This window comes from Homo sapiens, chromosome 11, assembly GCF_000001405.40.
Source record: "Homo sapiens chromosome 11, GRCh38.p14 Primary Assembly".
In the NCBI taxonomy this organism is placed as follows: domain Eukaryota; kingdom Metazoa; phylum Chordata; class Mammalia; order Primates; family Hominidae; genus Homo; species Homo sapiens.
The window spans coordinates 46,548,109-46,564,436 of record NC_000011.10 but is presented as its reverse complement, the minus strand read 5'-3'; the positions used below and the strand labels follow the sequence as shown (position 1 = coordinate 46,564,436).

The window sequence follows — 16,328 nt, the reverse complement described above, 5'->3', positions numbered from 1 at the left end:
ATCTGTGAAATGGGAATAACAGTACCCATCTTCATAGTATCATTGTGAGGAAAAAGTGAGATAAAGTGTTTAGCACTACCAAGTGTGTAGCAAATGTTCAATGAATATTAGATAATATGTTGCTTTAAGTGTATATATATGTGTTATATTCTATCACTTGTCTTTATCAGTTCATATGTAATTGGATACATACTGGGATTTCTCTTTTTTTTTTTTTTAATACTGGGATTTTTCTGCCATGTACTTAAGAAGGCTTTAAGATTGCTCTTACGTTTTTTTTTTTTTTTTTTTTGAGACGGAGTTTTGCTCTTGTTGCCCAGAGTGGAGTGCAATGGCGCCATCTCGGCTCACTGCAACCTCTGCCTCCTGGGTTGAAGCGATTCTCCTGCCTCAGCCTCCCAAGTAGTTGGGATTACAGGCATGCGCCACCATGCCTGGCTAATTTTGTATTTTTAGTAGAGACGGGGTTTCTCCATGTTGGTCAGGCTGGTCTCAAACTCCTGACTTCAGGTGATCCACACACCCCAGCCTCCCAAAGTGCTGAGATTACAGATGTGAGCCACCACGCCTGGCCTTTTTTTTTTTTTTTTTTTTGAGACAGTCTCGCTTTGTTGCCAGACTAGCCTGGAGTACAGTGGTGTGATCTTGGCTCACTGCAACTACCGTCTCCTAGGTTCAAGTGAATTCTCCTGTCTCGGCCTCCCGAGTTGCTGGGATTACAGGTGTGCACCACTATACCCAGCTAATTTTCATATTTTTAGTAGAGACGGGGTTTCACTACATTGGCCAGGCTGGTCTCAAACTCCTGACTTCAAGTGATCTGGCCGCCTCTGTTTCCTAAAGTTCTGGAATTACAGGCATGAGCCACTGCACCTGGCTGATGGTTTCTTTTAAAGAAATGAGGTTTCTCATCAGGGTGCCGTGTGGCTCATGCCTGTAATCCCAGCACTTTGGGAGGCTGAGGTGGGAGGATTCCTTGAGCCCAGGAGTTTGAGAACAGCCTGGGCACATAGTGAAACCTTGTCTCTACAAAAAATAAAGAAAATTACTGGGGCGTAGTTATATACACCTGTAGTCCCAGCTTCTGGGGAGGCCGAGATGGGAAGATCACTTACTCCTGGGAAGTCAAGTCTGCAGTTCAGTTGAGATCCTGCCACTACACTTCAGCCTGGTTGACAAAAACAAACAAAAAAAAGAGATGAGGTCTATGTTCTCTATGTTGCAGGCTGGTCTTGAACTCCTGGCCTCAAGCAGTTCTCCTCCATTAGCCTCCTGAGTTAGCTGGGTTACAGGTGTGATCTACCTTGCTTGACTCTCAAATGTTATGTATAATTATTTAAGAATAGGAAGCAGGCCAGGCACGGTAGTTTCAGCACATTGGGATGGCAAGGCAGGCAGATCACCTGAGGTCAGGAGTTTGAGACCAGCTTGGCTAACATGGTGAAACCCTGTTTCCACTAAAAATATAAAAAATTAGGTGTGGTGGCATGTGCCTGTAATCCCAGCTACTCAGGAGGCTGAGGTAGAAGAATCGCTTGAACCTGGGAGGCGGAGATTGCAGTGAGTCGAGATCATGCCATTGCACTCCAGCGTGGGCAACAAGAGTGAAACTCCTTCTCAAAAAAAAAAAAAAGAACCAATGTTGCATTATATTTATTATACTATTAATTTATAGGAAAAATTTAAGTTTCTCTTGAATTCATATTTTCTCAGGCTCATATTCATAGAAAAATAGAAAGTGATCCTAAACTATTGATTTATCCCTTTAATCTGCTCCCCCACCCGCAAACATAACACATATAGTAGAACCCTTCTCAATAAGTGTCTCCACTATCCACTTGGGACTTAGGCCCAAAACTTAGGAATCACTCTTCATTTCTCTCTCACACCTCAAATACAATGCATCTGTAATTCCCTTAGCTGTTTCTCCAAAATATATTCTGAGTATGACTATTCATCTCTTATATTGCTATAACCCTGGCCCAAATTCCCATCATCTTGTCATTTCCTTAGCTAAAATCCTCTAATAGTAACCCATTACACTTAATAAAATCCAAATTTTATCATGGTCTGCTAGTACCAACCTGTCTTTATTCTCTTCCTTGTTAGTGGTGCTCCAGCCATGTTGGCCTTATTTCCGGCCTTCACATGCGCTAAGCTTACCTGTTAGGGACCTTAGTACTTGGTACTCCTCATCCTCCTTGAAATATTTTTTTCACCTGCCTCTTTTCTCAAGGTTTCTATTTCAAGATGCCAGTCTTAACTCAAATGTCATCTCAGAGAGGCTTTCTCTGGCCACCCCAGGTAAAAGGGTGTGTTGTTTTCTTTCACCTGCCATATTTTCTTTCTAGCCTTTTTCAGTACTTGAAAGTATTGTTAATATTTAATTATATAAAAATCACATAAGCTTTTGGGGGGCAAGAATGTTCTTCTTTACTATAGTATCCTCAGTGCCTAGAACAGTGCCAACATAATACCTGCTTAATCAATGCTTGTTGGTTATTTATCAGTGCTTTTACATCCTTCCCCATCTTTAAGTGTTCTTTATTTGGAAAGTTGGGGAAATGGAATCCAGCTTCTACTCAGATTTAAATAACTAGGTTCTTAAATCTAATGCCTTCTTTTGATTGGCTAAGAAATGTGATTGGCATGGTAGGGTGGCATGTCGGCCTTTTAGCATAAGAACTCTGTGTTTAATAATTTGACTTCTTTTCTTGAAGCCTCGAGGGAAATTTTTTCTTTCCCTATTTTAGTCAGCCAAGAACCTGACCTGGGCTGACTATAAGATTGGAAAACACTGAACACAGTATCTACTAAGCCAAGCAAGGACTGGGAGTGTAGCTCTGGTACTATCTGAAGGAAAAGCCTGAATTCAAATCCTGCTTTGGCTCCAGACTCATCTGTGAATCTAGATGAATTTCTTAACCTCTTCCAGGTTTTGTTTTTCTTATTTGTCTGATGAGTAATCACATCTGTCCTAGGACTTGTGAAGATTCCTGGGTTAATGTTCTCAAAGCTTTTTTTTTTTTCTGACAATATTCTTTCCTTTTTTTTTTGAGATGGAGTCTCACTTTGTTACCTAGGCTGGAGTGCAATGGCATGATCTCGGCTCACTGCAACTTCCACCTCCTAGGTTCAAGCGATTCTCCTGCCTCAGCCTTCCGAGTAGCTGGGATTACAGGCGCGTGACACCACGCCCAGCTAATTTTTGTATTTTTAGTAGAGACAGGGTTTCACCGTGTTGGCCAGGCTAGTCTCGAACTCCTGACCTCAGGTGATCCACCTGCCTTGGCCTCTTAAAGTGCTGGGATTACAGGTGTGAGCTACTGCGCCTGGCCCAACAATATTCTTGCTGTAGCTCCAGGGGTTTCCAGGAAGAATTGGGGGCAATGTGGTGCTCCCAGGAAGGAGTTGGATTCTTTCTCAAAGACTATGCAGAGAATAGAAAGATGTGATCCTTTATGATTTGAAATCGGCCCTACTCCAGCCTCCTGATATTGTTGGTGGATGAAAGGTATATTGTTGCCAAAGTCATTAGGTCTGTTTGAGGCAGCTGGTTTCAGTTTCCGTTTCTGGGGTTAAGCTGTTTTGCCTCTGAAATTTCTTCCATCAGAAGCTACTCTTTTTTTGTTGCTTGCTAATAGGAAATCTTTTGCCATTTCTGTACATTTAAGAGTAGCCTTCTTGGTCTTCTTGATTCTTTTGATAGCTTGAAACCAAAAAATTGAGCTTCAGTTTCTTCTTGGTTTAGTGCTTTCCTCCTTGTTCTTCCTTCCGTTTTTAGGAGTTCTTGTGTTCTCAGCACACTGTTTTCTCCAGAATAATTTGCAGATAAAACTTCCGTTTCTTTTTTCTTCATCCTTCTGAGGTAAGTGGGAGTAAGGAAAATTGTCAGTCTCAAATTTGGGTCTTATTGCTTTCTATTTCCGGTTTTGATCACACTTTGTTTTGAGCACAAGCTTTCCCGTGTTTCAGACATTAGGCAGCATCATTGTGAGTTACTTTAGAAAGCTCTAGTAAGCAAAATCTGTAGCAGGAAAGCTGGTGCTTCACTTCTCCCCCCTTATTATAGTTACAGTAATTAGAATTTACTCAGTTTTGTATCTTCAAAACATTTTGTAAAATTGTTAGCCCATTTGTGATATATCCTATACAGAGGTCGGTCTTATTTTGAGTTTATATATAAAAAACTAATGCTGCTGCCTGTGTGCAGTAGAGGTGCAGGTTCTGTCTGTTGACAGTTTATTTCTGGGATTTTGGCTTCTTATAAAGAAAGGGACTGTGTATAATTTTAATTGATTGATCTTAGTTCTGTTGAATTATTTGTTTTCAATTTGTCAGGTGGTTAATTAGAGATAATGTAATCTGTGGCTTTTTATAATCACTGTAGTTTCCTTTGCAATCTTTCTCTTAGAACTGTAGGTGCGAGACTTCTTTGTGTGAACTTCTGTTTATCACATACTCTGGTTATTGTTCTATCTTGAGTTTTACTTTGAAAAGTAATAATCTTGTCTTGAAATTTTATAACCCATTTCCCCTAAGATTCTCCAAGGATTTTATTCCTTTAAGATAGAAGGAAGGTATTATTACTTTCAGTTTACATATTGGAGGAAAACTTGAAATTCAGCGAGGATATGATTTGTCCAAGATTATATAACAAGCCAGCGATAAAAATCAGTTATTAAAGCTTCTTACCTCTTAGTCTTATCTTTATTTATTAAATCACTGATTCTTGTTATAAACTTGACTGATACTCCTATATCCCCAGATTGCAGGATCAGCTTTCTTAGGGAGTAAATTAGGATGAAGGTTTTGTATTTAGTATTCTCAAGCTCGAAAGGTGTAATATCCCATATTCTCATCTCTGCTATCAGAATATCCACTGTCTCTGTACTTTGTTCTTAATATTCTGTGTTTCAAATAGGAGGATTAAAAAAATTTTACTGCCATTTTTGAGGTTATTTTTCTTTCTTCTTCCCTACTTATAGTTGAGGTAGTGATGGATTAGTCCTTTGCTTACTCTCTTGCCTGGCCCTCTCGTGATCAATGACATGTGCGTAATGAAATGACTGGCTGAAATTAGGTTGGTAATGGTGCAAAGCCTTGTCTTTACTTTTCTTTTCTTTCTTTTTTTTTTTGAGACAGGGTCTCACTCTGTCATCCAGGCGGAGTACAGTGGCGTGATCTCGGCTCACTGCAACCTCTGCCTCCCGAGTTCAAGCAATTCTCCCACCTCAGTCTCCCGAGTAGCTGGGATTACAGGGGCGTGCCACCACGCCCATCTAATTTTTGCATTTTTAGTAGAGACGGGGTTTCACCATGTTGGCCAGGCTGGTCTCGAACTCCTGACCTCAGGTGATCCACCCGACTCAGCCTCCCAAAGTGCTGGATTACAGGAGTGAGCCACTGCACCCGGCTTAGGTTTTTCTTTTTAAGGTATTTGACTTGTAGAAATTGAATTTATGACTTTGAACTCATAACCACCACACTTTTTAAAACTCTAGATGTTGCTGTTTATGATAGTTTTGGGTTCATTTGGGATCTTTTCACAACTCTGAATATAAGTAAATACACATACTCATGCTCTTCTACGCTAGACATTGTGCTAGGTACTGGGACTATGACAGACATGTTTTTTGCCCTCACAGAGTTTATAATCTACTTAGGAAGAACGAGTCCTAAGAAAGGATCACCAGTGTGATAAAATAAATTTATTTTGAGATATCTTTGGTTACCTAAATTTATTAATTTCCATATTTTCAGAAAAACTTCTTGTTAGAGTATTGAGCAGATAGTGGGTTTTCTGTAGAAAATTCTTGATATTTGTCAGCTAGATATTAGTAGATACTAGGTAGGTAGTGGTTTTTTTTTTTTTTTTTTTTTTTTTTGAGAGGGAGTCTGGCTGTGTCGCCCAGGCTGGATTGCAGTAGTGGGATCTCAGCTCATTGCAACCTCCACCTCCCGGGTTCAAGCGATTCTCCTACCTCAGCCTCCTGAGTAGCTGGGATTACAGGCATGTGCCACCATGCCCAGCTAATTTTGGTATTTTTAGTAGAGCTGGGGTTTCACTGTTTTGATCAGGCTGGTCTCGCACTCCTGACCTCGTGATCTGCCTGCCTCGGCCTCCCAAAGTGCTGGGATTACAGGTGTGAGCGACTGCGCCCGGTGATATTAGGTTAGTAGTGTTTTAGTTATCTATTGATGTACAAAAACCACCACAAAATTGGTGGCTTAAAACAATAAAGATTTATTTTGTCTCATAATTACTCAGGTTAGGAATTTGGGCAGGACTTGTCTGGATGGTCCTTCTCCCCTGTGTAACATCAGTTGTGCTTTGTGCGTCTGCTTTCAGCTGGTGGTTGGGCTAGGTTAGAAGGTCTAAGAAGGTTTCACTCATTTGCTTGGTATCTTGATAGTCTTCCACGTGGCTTCTCTCTCTCCACATGGTATCTTATCATGCAGGTCCTCTCTGAGTCTTGCTCAGTCGCCCAGGCTGGAGTGTAGTGGCACAAGCTGGGCTTACTGCAACCCCCACCTCCTGGGTTCAAGTGATTCTCTTGCCTCGGCCTCTCCAGTAGCTGTTAGTACAGGCATGCATCACCATGCCGGGCTATGTTTGTTTGTTTTTTGAGTCAGGGCCTTGCTCTGTCACCCAGGCTGGAGTGTGGTGGCATGATCAGGGCTCACTGCAGCCTCGACCTCCTGGGCTCAGGCTATCCTCCCACCTCAGCCTTCCGAGTAGCTGGAACCACAGGCACATGCCACCATGCCTAGCTAATTTTAAACAATTTTTGTAGAGACAGGGGTCTCACTATGTTGACCAGGCTGATCTTGAATTCCTGGACTCAAACAATCCTCCCACCTCAACCTCCCAGGGCAGGGATTACAGGTGTGAGCCACTGTGCCTGGCTGGTTTTATTTTTTGTTTTTAAAAAGGTGACAGTGGTAAGATCTTTTATATGAAATGGTTTGGAGACCTCTACAGTGGACGGTCTCATTTTGCCTAGAAGAATTTGTTTTAAATTTAATTTGTCTGACTGTTTACAGGGCTTTGTGGCCTAAACTTTTTATTTTTAGAAATTAAATATTGTGTGTTCTTATTACCATTTTCTTTCTTTCTTTTTTTTTTTTTTTTTGAGATGGAGTCTCACTCTCTCCCCCAGGCTGGAGTGCAGTGGCGTGATCTCGGCTCACTGCAACCTCTGTGTCCCAGGTTTAAGTGATTCTCCTGCCTCAGCCTCCTGAGTAGCTGGGACTACAGGCACATGTCACCATGCCTGGCTAATTTTTTTTTTTTTTTGAGATGGAGTTTCGCTCTTGTTGCCCAGGCTGGAGTACAATGGCACGATCTCTGCTCACCACAACTTCCACCTCCCGGGTTCAAGGGATTCTCCTGCCTCAGCCTCCTAAGTAGCTGGGATTGCAGGCATGCACCACCATGCCTGGCTAATTTTGTATTTTTAATAGAGACAGGGTTTCTCCATGTTGGTCAGGCTGGTCTTGAACTCCTGACCTCAGGTGATCCACCCGCCTCAGCCTCCCAAGGTGCTGGGATTACAGGCATGAGCCACCGCAACCAGCCCTTATTACCATTTTCATACTAATTCTTCATTACAGAATGAAGCTATTATTCTACTATAAGCATTTTTCATATGGTAAATATTTTGATCCTTGTGGTAGCCCTGTGATATACATACTATCAATAGTCACATTTTATGGATGAGGAAACTAAGGTACAGTCAGGTTAAGTAACTATTCCTAGAAATCAAGATACCATCATATACCAGGAAAAGGATGGAGCTGGAATTCAATCAACCATTCTGACTGCGGGGCCCATATATATGACTATACATATTGACTGTAATTTGGATGTTATGGATAATAACAATAAAATAAATATCACTCATGACTTCTCCATCTAGAGTTAACCAGTTAGCACTTTGCCATATCCTTGGATATCTTTTGCACACAATAGATACACAATTCAGGGAATAGTTGGAGTTTTTCTGCTTCTAGGTGTGTTTGCCTTCGGGAATGTGTTGTTTACTGTTCTAAATTTATGATGTTTTTCCCCACATTCTCTGTACCCCTGTAAATTCAGTCTAGTGTAAGAGTCACACAAGAGCTGTATGGAGTCAGGTGTGGGTGCTGGCTTGTGGTGCTTACAGTTTGAACTTTGGTTCTATATGATGTTACTTGAAGTATCCTGAAATGGCCGTAGGAAAGTCCTATTAATAAAAACAAAGCTGCCAGTCGTAGAAAACCCTGTGTATTTCCATCCATATGGAGTTTCCAAAGAGTACTGGGGCAGTTTTAGGCTTCTAATTAAAAGCCTGAAATTTTGTAGTTAATTTTCCATTTGGGTGAACTTTACTTATGCAAGTGGTCTTAGAATTAGTATTTAAAGGATTTTTTAAAAAATAATTATATCCTTGGGTTAAATCAAGTTATGGAATATATGTCAGTATTACATGGTTGGTTTGACTCTTAGACTTTGCCCACATGGGCATAGTGAAGTGGAAGAGAGATGCAGTTACTCAAATAAATAAGGAGATTGGACTCCATTTTAACAGCTTCTTGCAGGTCTATAGGTTTCTGAATCACACTCCTAAATGCAATAGGAAGGGGAAGATTTGGGGTATGAATTATTAGTCAGGTTTTAGATACAGCTATAAATTGTTGGTTCTGGTTTTTAATTCACTTTACTAAACTATGTAGAGGGAGCCCAAATCACAATGAATTATTTTTGCCACATAAACATACTTTATTTTCTCCCTGAGCACTTTTTACTTTGTTTTCTGGTAACAGCCTTTGACATAATTCTTAGAAATCTGCTACTCTTGGGAATTGTGGTGTCTCTGGGGTTTCAGTTGGCCCTATTGTTTGGTGAGGGAAACCATAGTGAACCTCAGAGAGGATTCAATAGTAATAAAAACAACAGAAACAAGATTCATATTTCCACAGCTGTTTTCTTATTTGGAGTCTCATAACAACCCTATGAAGCAGACATTGTGATCATGTTTTACAGAGGAGGAAACGAAGCCTCAAAGAGGTTAAGTATCCCCAAAGTCGTATAGCTAGAAGGTGGAGTAAAATTCCTGGCATAAGATAATCAGATTGCACAAGGAACCTCTAAATCTAACTTCTAATTCCCACTGGGTTGTGGCATACTCTCTAGATGGTTTTTATGAGTAGTTGTTAAATATAATTGTCTCTTAGAATTAAATAGAGAAAATCTGGAAAGGTGATTGCCTTCTCACCTTTGGAGAGTACTCAGTCATGTTATTGGGAGTGGGAGTATGTGTGTGTGGAAATGGGATGGAATCTTGGCATTTGTCTTTTTGTTTGTTTGTTTGTTTTTTTAAGACAGGGTCTCACTCTATTACCTGGGCTGAAGAGTGCAGCGGTGCAATCATGGCTCACTGTAGTCTTGACCTCCTGGACTCAAGCAACCTTCCCACCTTGGCCTCCCACCATGCCTGACCGGCATTTGTCTTATGTACATATCCTAGCCATGTCTTTTGCTTCTACTTGGATAAGCTTTTGGTGATTGAGAATTGATTTTGGGGACTGTGTGACGGTATCACAAAGACTATTGTTGGTAACCTTTGTCTCAGTCTGCTTTACTTTAAGGGACAGATTGGGAAACTTGTTTCTTCTTCCTTTTTAAAAGAGGAATGAAAAACACAATTGACTGGCATTTTCTCCTCATCAGCAGCCCTGTGTGACTTCAGTTTGACTTAGCTCCCTTTGTTCTTTACAGGGAACAGAGTAAAATCTCTTCTCAGGTGGCTGGTAAGAGCATATCAGGAGAGAAGTCCCTTATCCTTTTAAAGCAACAGCAAATATTTTTCTTCAGATGAAAGAGAGATTGTGTAATTGTTTTACTCCCTCTGACTTCTTCCCATCAGTAAAGCTTTCTCTTGTTTGAGCTGTTAGTGTGTTTAGGTCCCTGGAAATTGATAGAAATGTTGTTTGGTAATCCTGATCCTTTGATTTTTTTCTTGGTATTGATATTTGTAGCTACTCTTTCCCCTTTCTGAATCCTGTAGGAATCTGAGGTTGCATCACAGTTTTCTGAGTCATACAGTACTTGTGACCTGTATTTTATTGTTCCTCTTGAGTAACAGGAGGTCGGAAGGTCGGTTTTTTTTATTTTTTATTTTTAGGAATTGGACTGCTGCTGTTTCCACCACACCTTGTAAGATTATAAATGGTTTAAGTGTATTTCTTTGAAAGTGCCTTTATATTGCACTGTTAAGACAAAGGACTCTCAAGATGTTTCTTCTGAACTTTTTTATATTGGGTAAAAGAATTGCAGTAGAGGGTTAAGGTAAACTAATAGGAACTGTATTTTTGGCACTTTCCTGGTTAGTAATTAATCACTTATGTGGCAGTTTGACCGAAGGGCTACCCTGGGTTCAGGTCTAGATTTCTGATCCTAATCTATGAGTTGTCAGGGTTACTAAGGAGATGATTTCCTTCCAGTTAGTTCATCCTTAGCCTATTCAGGAAGTTGGCCTGAAAATGTTGATATTTTCAGTACATATTTATGCACTAATAAGTGATGAGAGCTGTATCATGAGGATACAGGCTAGAATTTGTTTCTTTGTCACTCCTTAGGTAACTCTGTGCTGTGTAGGACTAGGAACTTGGTGAGTTTTTTTGTTTTTGTTTTTGTGTTTTTTTTTTGAGATGGAGTCTCACTCTGTCACCCAGGCTGAAGTACAATGGCACGGTCTCAGCTCACTGAAAGTTCCACCTTCCAGGTCCAAGCGATTCTCCCAACTTAGCTTCCCAAGTAGCTGGGACTACAGGCATGAGCTACCACGCCTGGCTAATTTTTGTATTTTTAGTAGAGACAGGGTTTCACTATGTTGGCCAGGCTGGTCTCGAACTTCTGACCTTGTGATCTGCCCGCCTTGGCCTCCCAAAGTGCTGGGATTACAGGTGTGAGCCACTGCACCTGGCCAAACTTGGTGTTTTCTTGCTGTGAAATCTTTCTGACTTTTACATCTTAGTACTCCAGTGAGAGAACTCCTTCAACACAGGCTGTTAATGTTTTTTTCTGTCTGTATTTGGATACATCTGGTTGTGTACTCTTTAGATTGCAGCCTTTTGTGAAATGTAAAGAGCCAATTATTGTTTGGCTTTTTACAATAAATAGTTATTACTTTTTAAAAAAGTGAATGGTGGCCGGGCGTGGTGGCTCACGCTTGTAATCCCAGCACTTTGGGAGGCTGAGGCGGGTGGATCACCTGAGGTCAGGAGTTCGAGACCAGCCTGACCAATATGGTGAAACCCTATCTCTACTAAAAATACAAAAATTAGCCGGGTGTGGTGGCAGGCGCCTGTAGTCCCAGCTACTCGGGAGGCTGAAACAGAATTACCTGAACCCAGGAGGCAGAGGTTGCAGTGAGCCGAGATCGCCCCACTGCACTGCAGCCTGGGTGACGGAGCGAGACTCTGTCTCAAAAAAGAAAAAAAGTGAGTGATGAGGTTTGGGCTTCTGGTAATAATAATTTTTAAAATTAAAAAGTGAAAAAAAAATAGAAACTTGCCTATTAAAATTATTAAATCACCAATAATGCCACTACTGAGAGACAACCATGGTTAGTATTTATTGTATTTCTTTTGTATCCTTTTTCTCCTAATATTTTTTAAACAAAGTTGGGATTAATACTGCATATAGAATTTTGTGTTCTTTTTTCACTTAACATGTACTTACCGCATAATTTAATTTTTTTTTTTTTTTTTTGAGACAGAATCTCGCTCTGTTGCCCAGGCTGGAGTGCAATGGCACGGCTCACTGCAACCTCCGCCTCCCGGGTTCAAGTGATTCTCCCGCCTCAGCCCCCTGAGTAGCTGGGATTACAGGCGCGTACCATCACGCCTAGCTAACTTTTGTATTTTTAGTAGAGACGGGGTTTCACCATGTTGGCCAGGATGGTCTCGATCTCTTGAACTTGTTACCACCCACCTCAGCCTCCCAAAGTGCTGGGATTACAGGTGTGAGCTACCGTGCCTGGCCTTTTTTTTTTTTTTTTTTTTTTTTTTTTTTTTTTTTTGAGATGGAGTCTCACTCTGTCACTCAAGCTGGAGTGCAGTGGTGCCATCTTGGCTCACTACAGCCTCAGCCTCCTGGGTTCAAGCAATTCTCGTGCCTCAGCCTCCCAAGTAGCTGGGATTACAGGTGTGCACCACCACGCCCGGCTAATTTTTGTATTTTCAGTAGAGATGGGGTTTCGCCATGTTGGCCAGGCTAATACCGAATTCCTGACCTCAAGTGATCTGCCTGCCTCGGCCTTCCAAAGTGCTGGGATTATAGGCGTGAGCCACCATGCCTGGCCTCATTTAATATTTAATTTAATTTATTTTTTTGATTAATTAATTGGTTAATTTTTTTTTGGAGATGGAGTTTCACTCTGTCACCCAGGCCGGAGTGCAGTGGTGCGATCTTGGCTCACTACAACCTCCGCCTCCTGGGTTCAAGCGATTCTCCAGCCTCAGCCTCCCAAGTAGCTGGGATTACTGGTGCCTGCCACCACGCCTGGCTAATTTTTGTATTTTTAGTAGAGATGGGGTTTCACCATGTTGACCAGGCTGGTCTCGAACTCCTGACCTCAGGTGATCCGTCTGCCTTGGCCTCCCAAAGTGCTGAGATTACAGGCATGAGCCACTGCACCTGGCCTAATTTTTGTCTTTTTAGTAGAGTAAATTTTGTATTTTTAGTAGAGTAGGTTTTGCCATGTTGGCCAGGCTGGTCTCAAACTCCTGACCTCAGGTGATCCGCCCACCTTGGCCTCCCAAAGTTCTGGGATTACAGGCGTGAGCCATCGCGCCTGGTGTCGTTTAATATTTTAAAGAAAATTTTTGATAAAGATAACAGATTTACCTTTTTCAAAAACTAAAATTTCAGCACCTAGTGCAGTGGTTTGCACCAGCCTGGGCAACATAGCGAGACCCCATCTTTAAAATAATTTTAAAAGTTAGCTACTCTGGAGGCTGAGGCAGGAGGATTGCTTGAGCCCAGCACTTTGAGGCTGCAGTGAGCCATGATTGCACCATCGCACTCCAGCCTGGGTGATAGAGTGATACCCTGTTTCTTTAAAAAATAAAAATAAAGTCCCCACAAACTAACTAAAATTCCATTTCAAAAACACTGACAGGTATTAATCCATTTTTGTTTCCATTTATCTAGTCCCTCCAGTCCCCAGCGTGTTACCATTAGTTTTTCTTCTTATTCAAAGGTAGCTTTACTCGATATATTGTTTTGTACCTTGCTTTTTTTCTCTCGACAATATATTTTGGACATCTATTCTTTTTTTTTTTTTTTTTTTGAGGCGGAGTCTCACTCCGTCGCCCAGGCTGGAGTGCAGTGGCGCGATCTTGGCTCACTGCAAGCTCTGCCTCTCGGGTTCATGCCATTCTCCTGCCTCAGCCTCCTGAGTAGCTGGGACTACAGTCTCCTGCCACCACGTCTGGCTATTTTTTTTTTTTTTTTTTGTATTTTTAGTAGAGACGCGGTTTCACTGTGTTAGCCAGGATGGTCTCGATCTCCTGACCTCGCGATCCGCCCGTCTCGGCCTCCCAAAGTGCTGGGATTACAGGCGTGAGCCACTGCGCCTGGCCTGGACATCTGTTCTTATCAGTAGCCAGAGAATCTTCCTTGCCATAGATTAGTCATCCAGTACCCTTTAGATGGACACTTGGTTATCCTCAGTTTTTGCTATTGTAAGCAATAAGACAGAAGTAGTAACTACTCTGCACCAATTTTTAAGGGAAATTTATTATTTGTACAAGAAAGCCAGCTAATACATGTAGAAATAATGATAGAATTAGAAAATGAATATTTTCAGCATCTCCCCCCATTAAAAAAGTACAAGAGAGAATCATCAATGAATGCTAACCCATTAAGTAAAAAGTTGAGAAGTAATAGGATATTTACATGATGCCAAATAATTGCCACAGATTGCTAATTGTAAAGGGGGAGATATTCCTTTATAAAGAGAGGTCTGGCTCTTAACAACCTCAACCAAGTAATCATCTTTCTACAAATGATCACTAATGATGGTACAGTCTGAAAATATGTGCCACCTGATGTACTCCACCTTGAGGTATATAGGCACATCAACTGTGACGCACTGTCACCAAAAACATTTAAACTAATGAAGGTTTTAGACCTAACCTGCTGTTTACAGGAAATAAAGGTATAGAGAGGCAAGCTAAATGCTACTATGAGGAAACAATCAGTTGAGTCTAGGATGTAAGGCATTCTAACAAGTCAACTCTCCTGATCTTTTAGAAAAGCTAGTGTCGGCTGGGTGCAGTAGCTCACACCTGTAATCCCAGCACTTTGGGAGGCTGAGGCGGGTGGATCACCTGAGGTCAGGAGTTCAAGACCAGCCTGGCCAACATGGCAAAACCTGGTCTTTACTAAAAATACAAAAATTAGCTGGGTGTGGTGGCAGGTGCCTGTAATCCCAGCTACTCCGGAGGCTGAGGCAGGAGAATTGCATGAACCCAGGAGGCAGAGGTTGCAGTGAGCCGAGATTGCGCTGTTGCACTCCAACTGGGGCCACAGAGTGAGACTCTGTCCCCCACCCCCCCCAAAAAAGAAAGAAAAGCTAGTGTCACAAATAAATGAAAACATAAACAAAACAAAACATGGAGGCCATTCTAGGATAAAGGAGACTAAAGAGACATAAACGTCCAAAGTCGTTGCTTGAGTTTTGATTAGAGTCTGGATTTTTTTTAAGTCAACCATAAATGAAATTTTTTGGACAATGGGGAAAATTCGAATGATAATTGAAGTATTAGATGATAATTGGTATAGTATTGTTATTGTGGTTATGAGGCAGAACATCCTTCTTCCTAGGAGTTGCATAATGAATTAAATATGCAGGGTTAAAGTGTCTTGATACCTACTGAAATAATTCCAAAATTATACAAAAAAAACACCAACCTCAATGTAACCATATCTCTATCCATGGAGATAGATGAGGCAAATTTGGCAAAATATTGACAATTCTTGAGTCTAGGTGGAGAATAGTGTATGTTTATTGTACCATTCTTTCAACTTTCCTATATTTTTTAAAACATTCATAGTGGAGCTAAAGAAACAATGTCACAGTGGATAACACTGTATATATGTAGATATTCTTTTGAAATACCATTTTATCAGGCTTACATAGTCCATTGTATAGACCACAATTTGTTCTTTAATCATTACACTTGTGTGTATTGTGCTGCTAGTTGCCATTTTAGTAGAATTTTAATTTCTGATGAAGTTTTCTCCTTGTAAGTCTTGTGGTAGATGAGAAAAGGAGCCTGATTTTTTTTTTTCCTTCCCTTTCCTTCTCTGTCCTCTACCCTGGATCTTTAGTGGAGAAGAGAAAGAGAAAATGAGTGAGAAAGGTACTCCTAAATAATCTTTTTTTTTTTGAGATGGAGTCTTGCTCTGTCGCCCAGGCACTGGAGTGCAATGGCACTATCTCAGCTCTCTGCAACTTCTGCGTCCTGGGTTCAAGCAATTCTCCTGCTTCAGTCTGATGAGTAGCTGGGATTACAGGTGCCTGCCACCACACCCGGCTAATTTTTGTATTTTAGTAGAGACGGGGTTTCACCATGTTGGCCAGGCTGTCTCAAACTCCTGACCTCAAGCAATCCAATCTCCTTGGCTTCCCAAAGTTCGGGGATTACAGGCGTGAGCCACTGTGCTTGGCCTGATCCTTTCTTTAGCTACAAGGTTGAGCTATGGAGAATATGAGAGTATGAAATATTTTTGGAAGAAAAATTCTGGGAGGAAGGGTCTTTTCTGAGAAAGTGTCATTAAATAGGAAAAGTATAATTTCCCTTTTGAGCTAGAATTGTATTTGCAATTAGAAGCTTCTCGTTGCAGAAGTCGTTCTTTGACATTATTCTTTGTTCCTTAAGATTTCCATGAGGACAACTTACAAGGACCTGTATGGCCTCATTTTAGCTGCTTCAGTGTGTTGGAGCTGTTACTTGCTCCTTCATTTCCTGGGCCTGGTGTGACAGTGGCTACTGAGCGCCATGAAGGTTGTCCCAGAAAAGAATGCTGTCCGGATACTCTGGGGGCGAGAACGGGGTGCTCGGGCCATGGGAGCTCAGCGGCTTCTGCAGGAGCTGGTAGAAGATAAAACCCGGTGGATGAAATGGGAGGGCAAGGTAAGGAAAATGGCTATATTTCACATAGGATTTGTGCTGGTGATGGTAGAATGAGACCTTAGAATGGGTTAACAGCAGAGAGTTGGGATATATTTATCTTGTGTGGGAGAGTTGACATATCTGACTTAGGGAGTTGT

General features: G+C 41.4%; 1 protein-coding gene across 10 annotated transcripts in view; it reads left to right on the top strand.

Annotated features, from left to right (window-relative positions):
* The window catches only part of AMBRA1 (autophagy and beclin 1 regulator 1), a 197,612-nt gene that overhangs the window by 29,587 nt on the left and 151,697 nt on the right, over positions 1–16,328 (top strand). For all 10 annotated transcript variants that reach the window (NR_160027.1, NM_017749.3, NM_001367470.1 and 7 more), the window contains exon 2: positions 15,937–16,191. Coding sequence is in view for 8 of the 10 variants with exons in the window: in NM_017749.3 (NP_060219.2) it covers positions 16,057–16,191 (135 nt within the window). In the remaining 2 variants the exon portion in view is untranslated. The remainder of the gene's footprint in view (positions 1–15,936; positions 16,192–16,328) is intronic.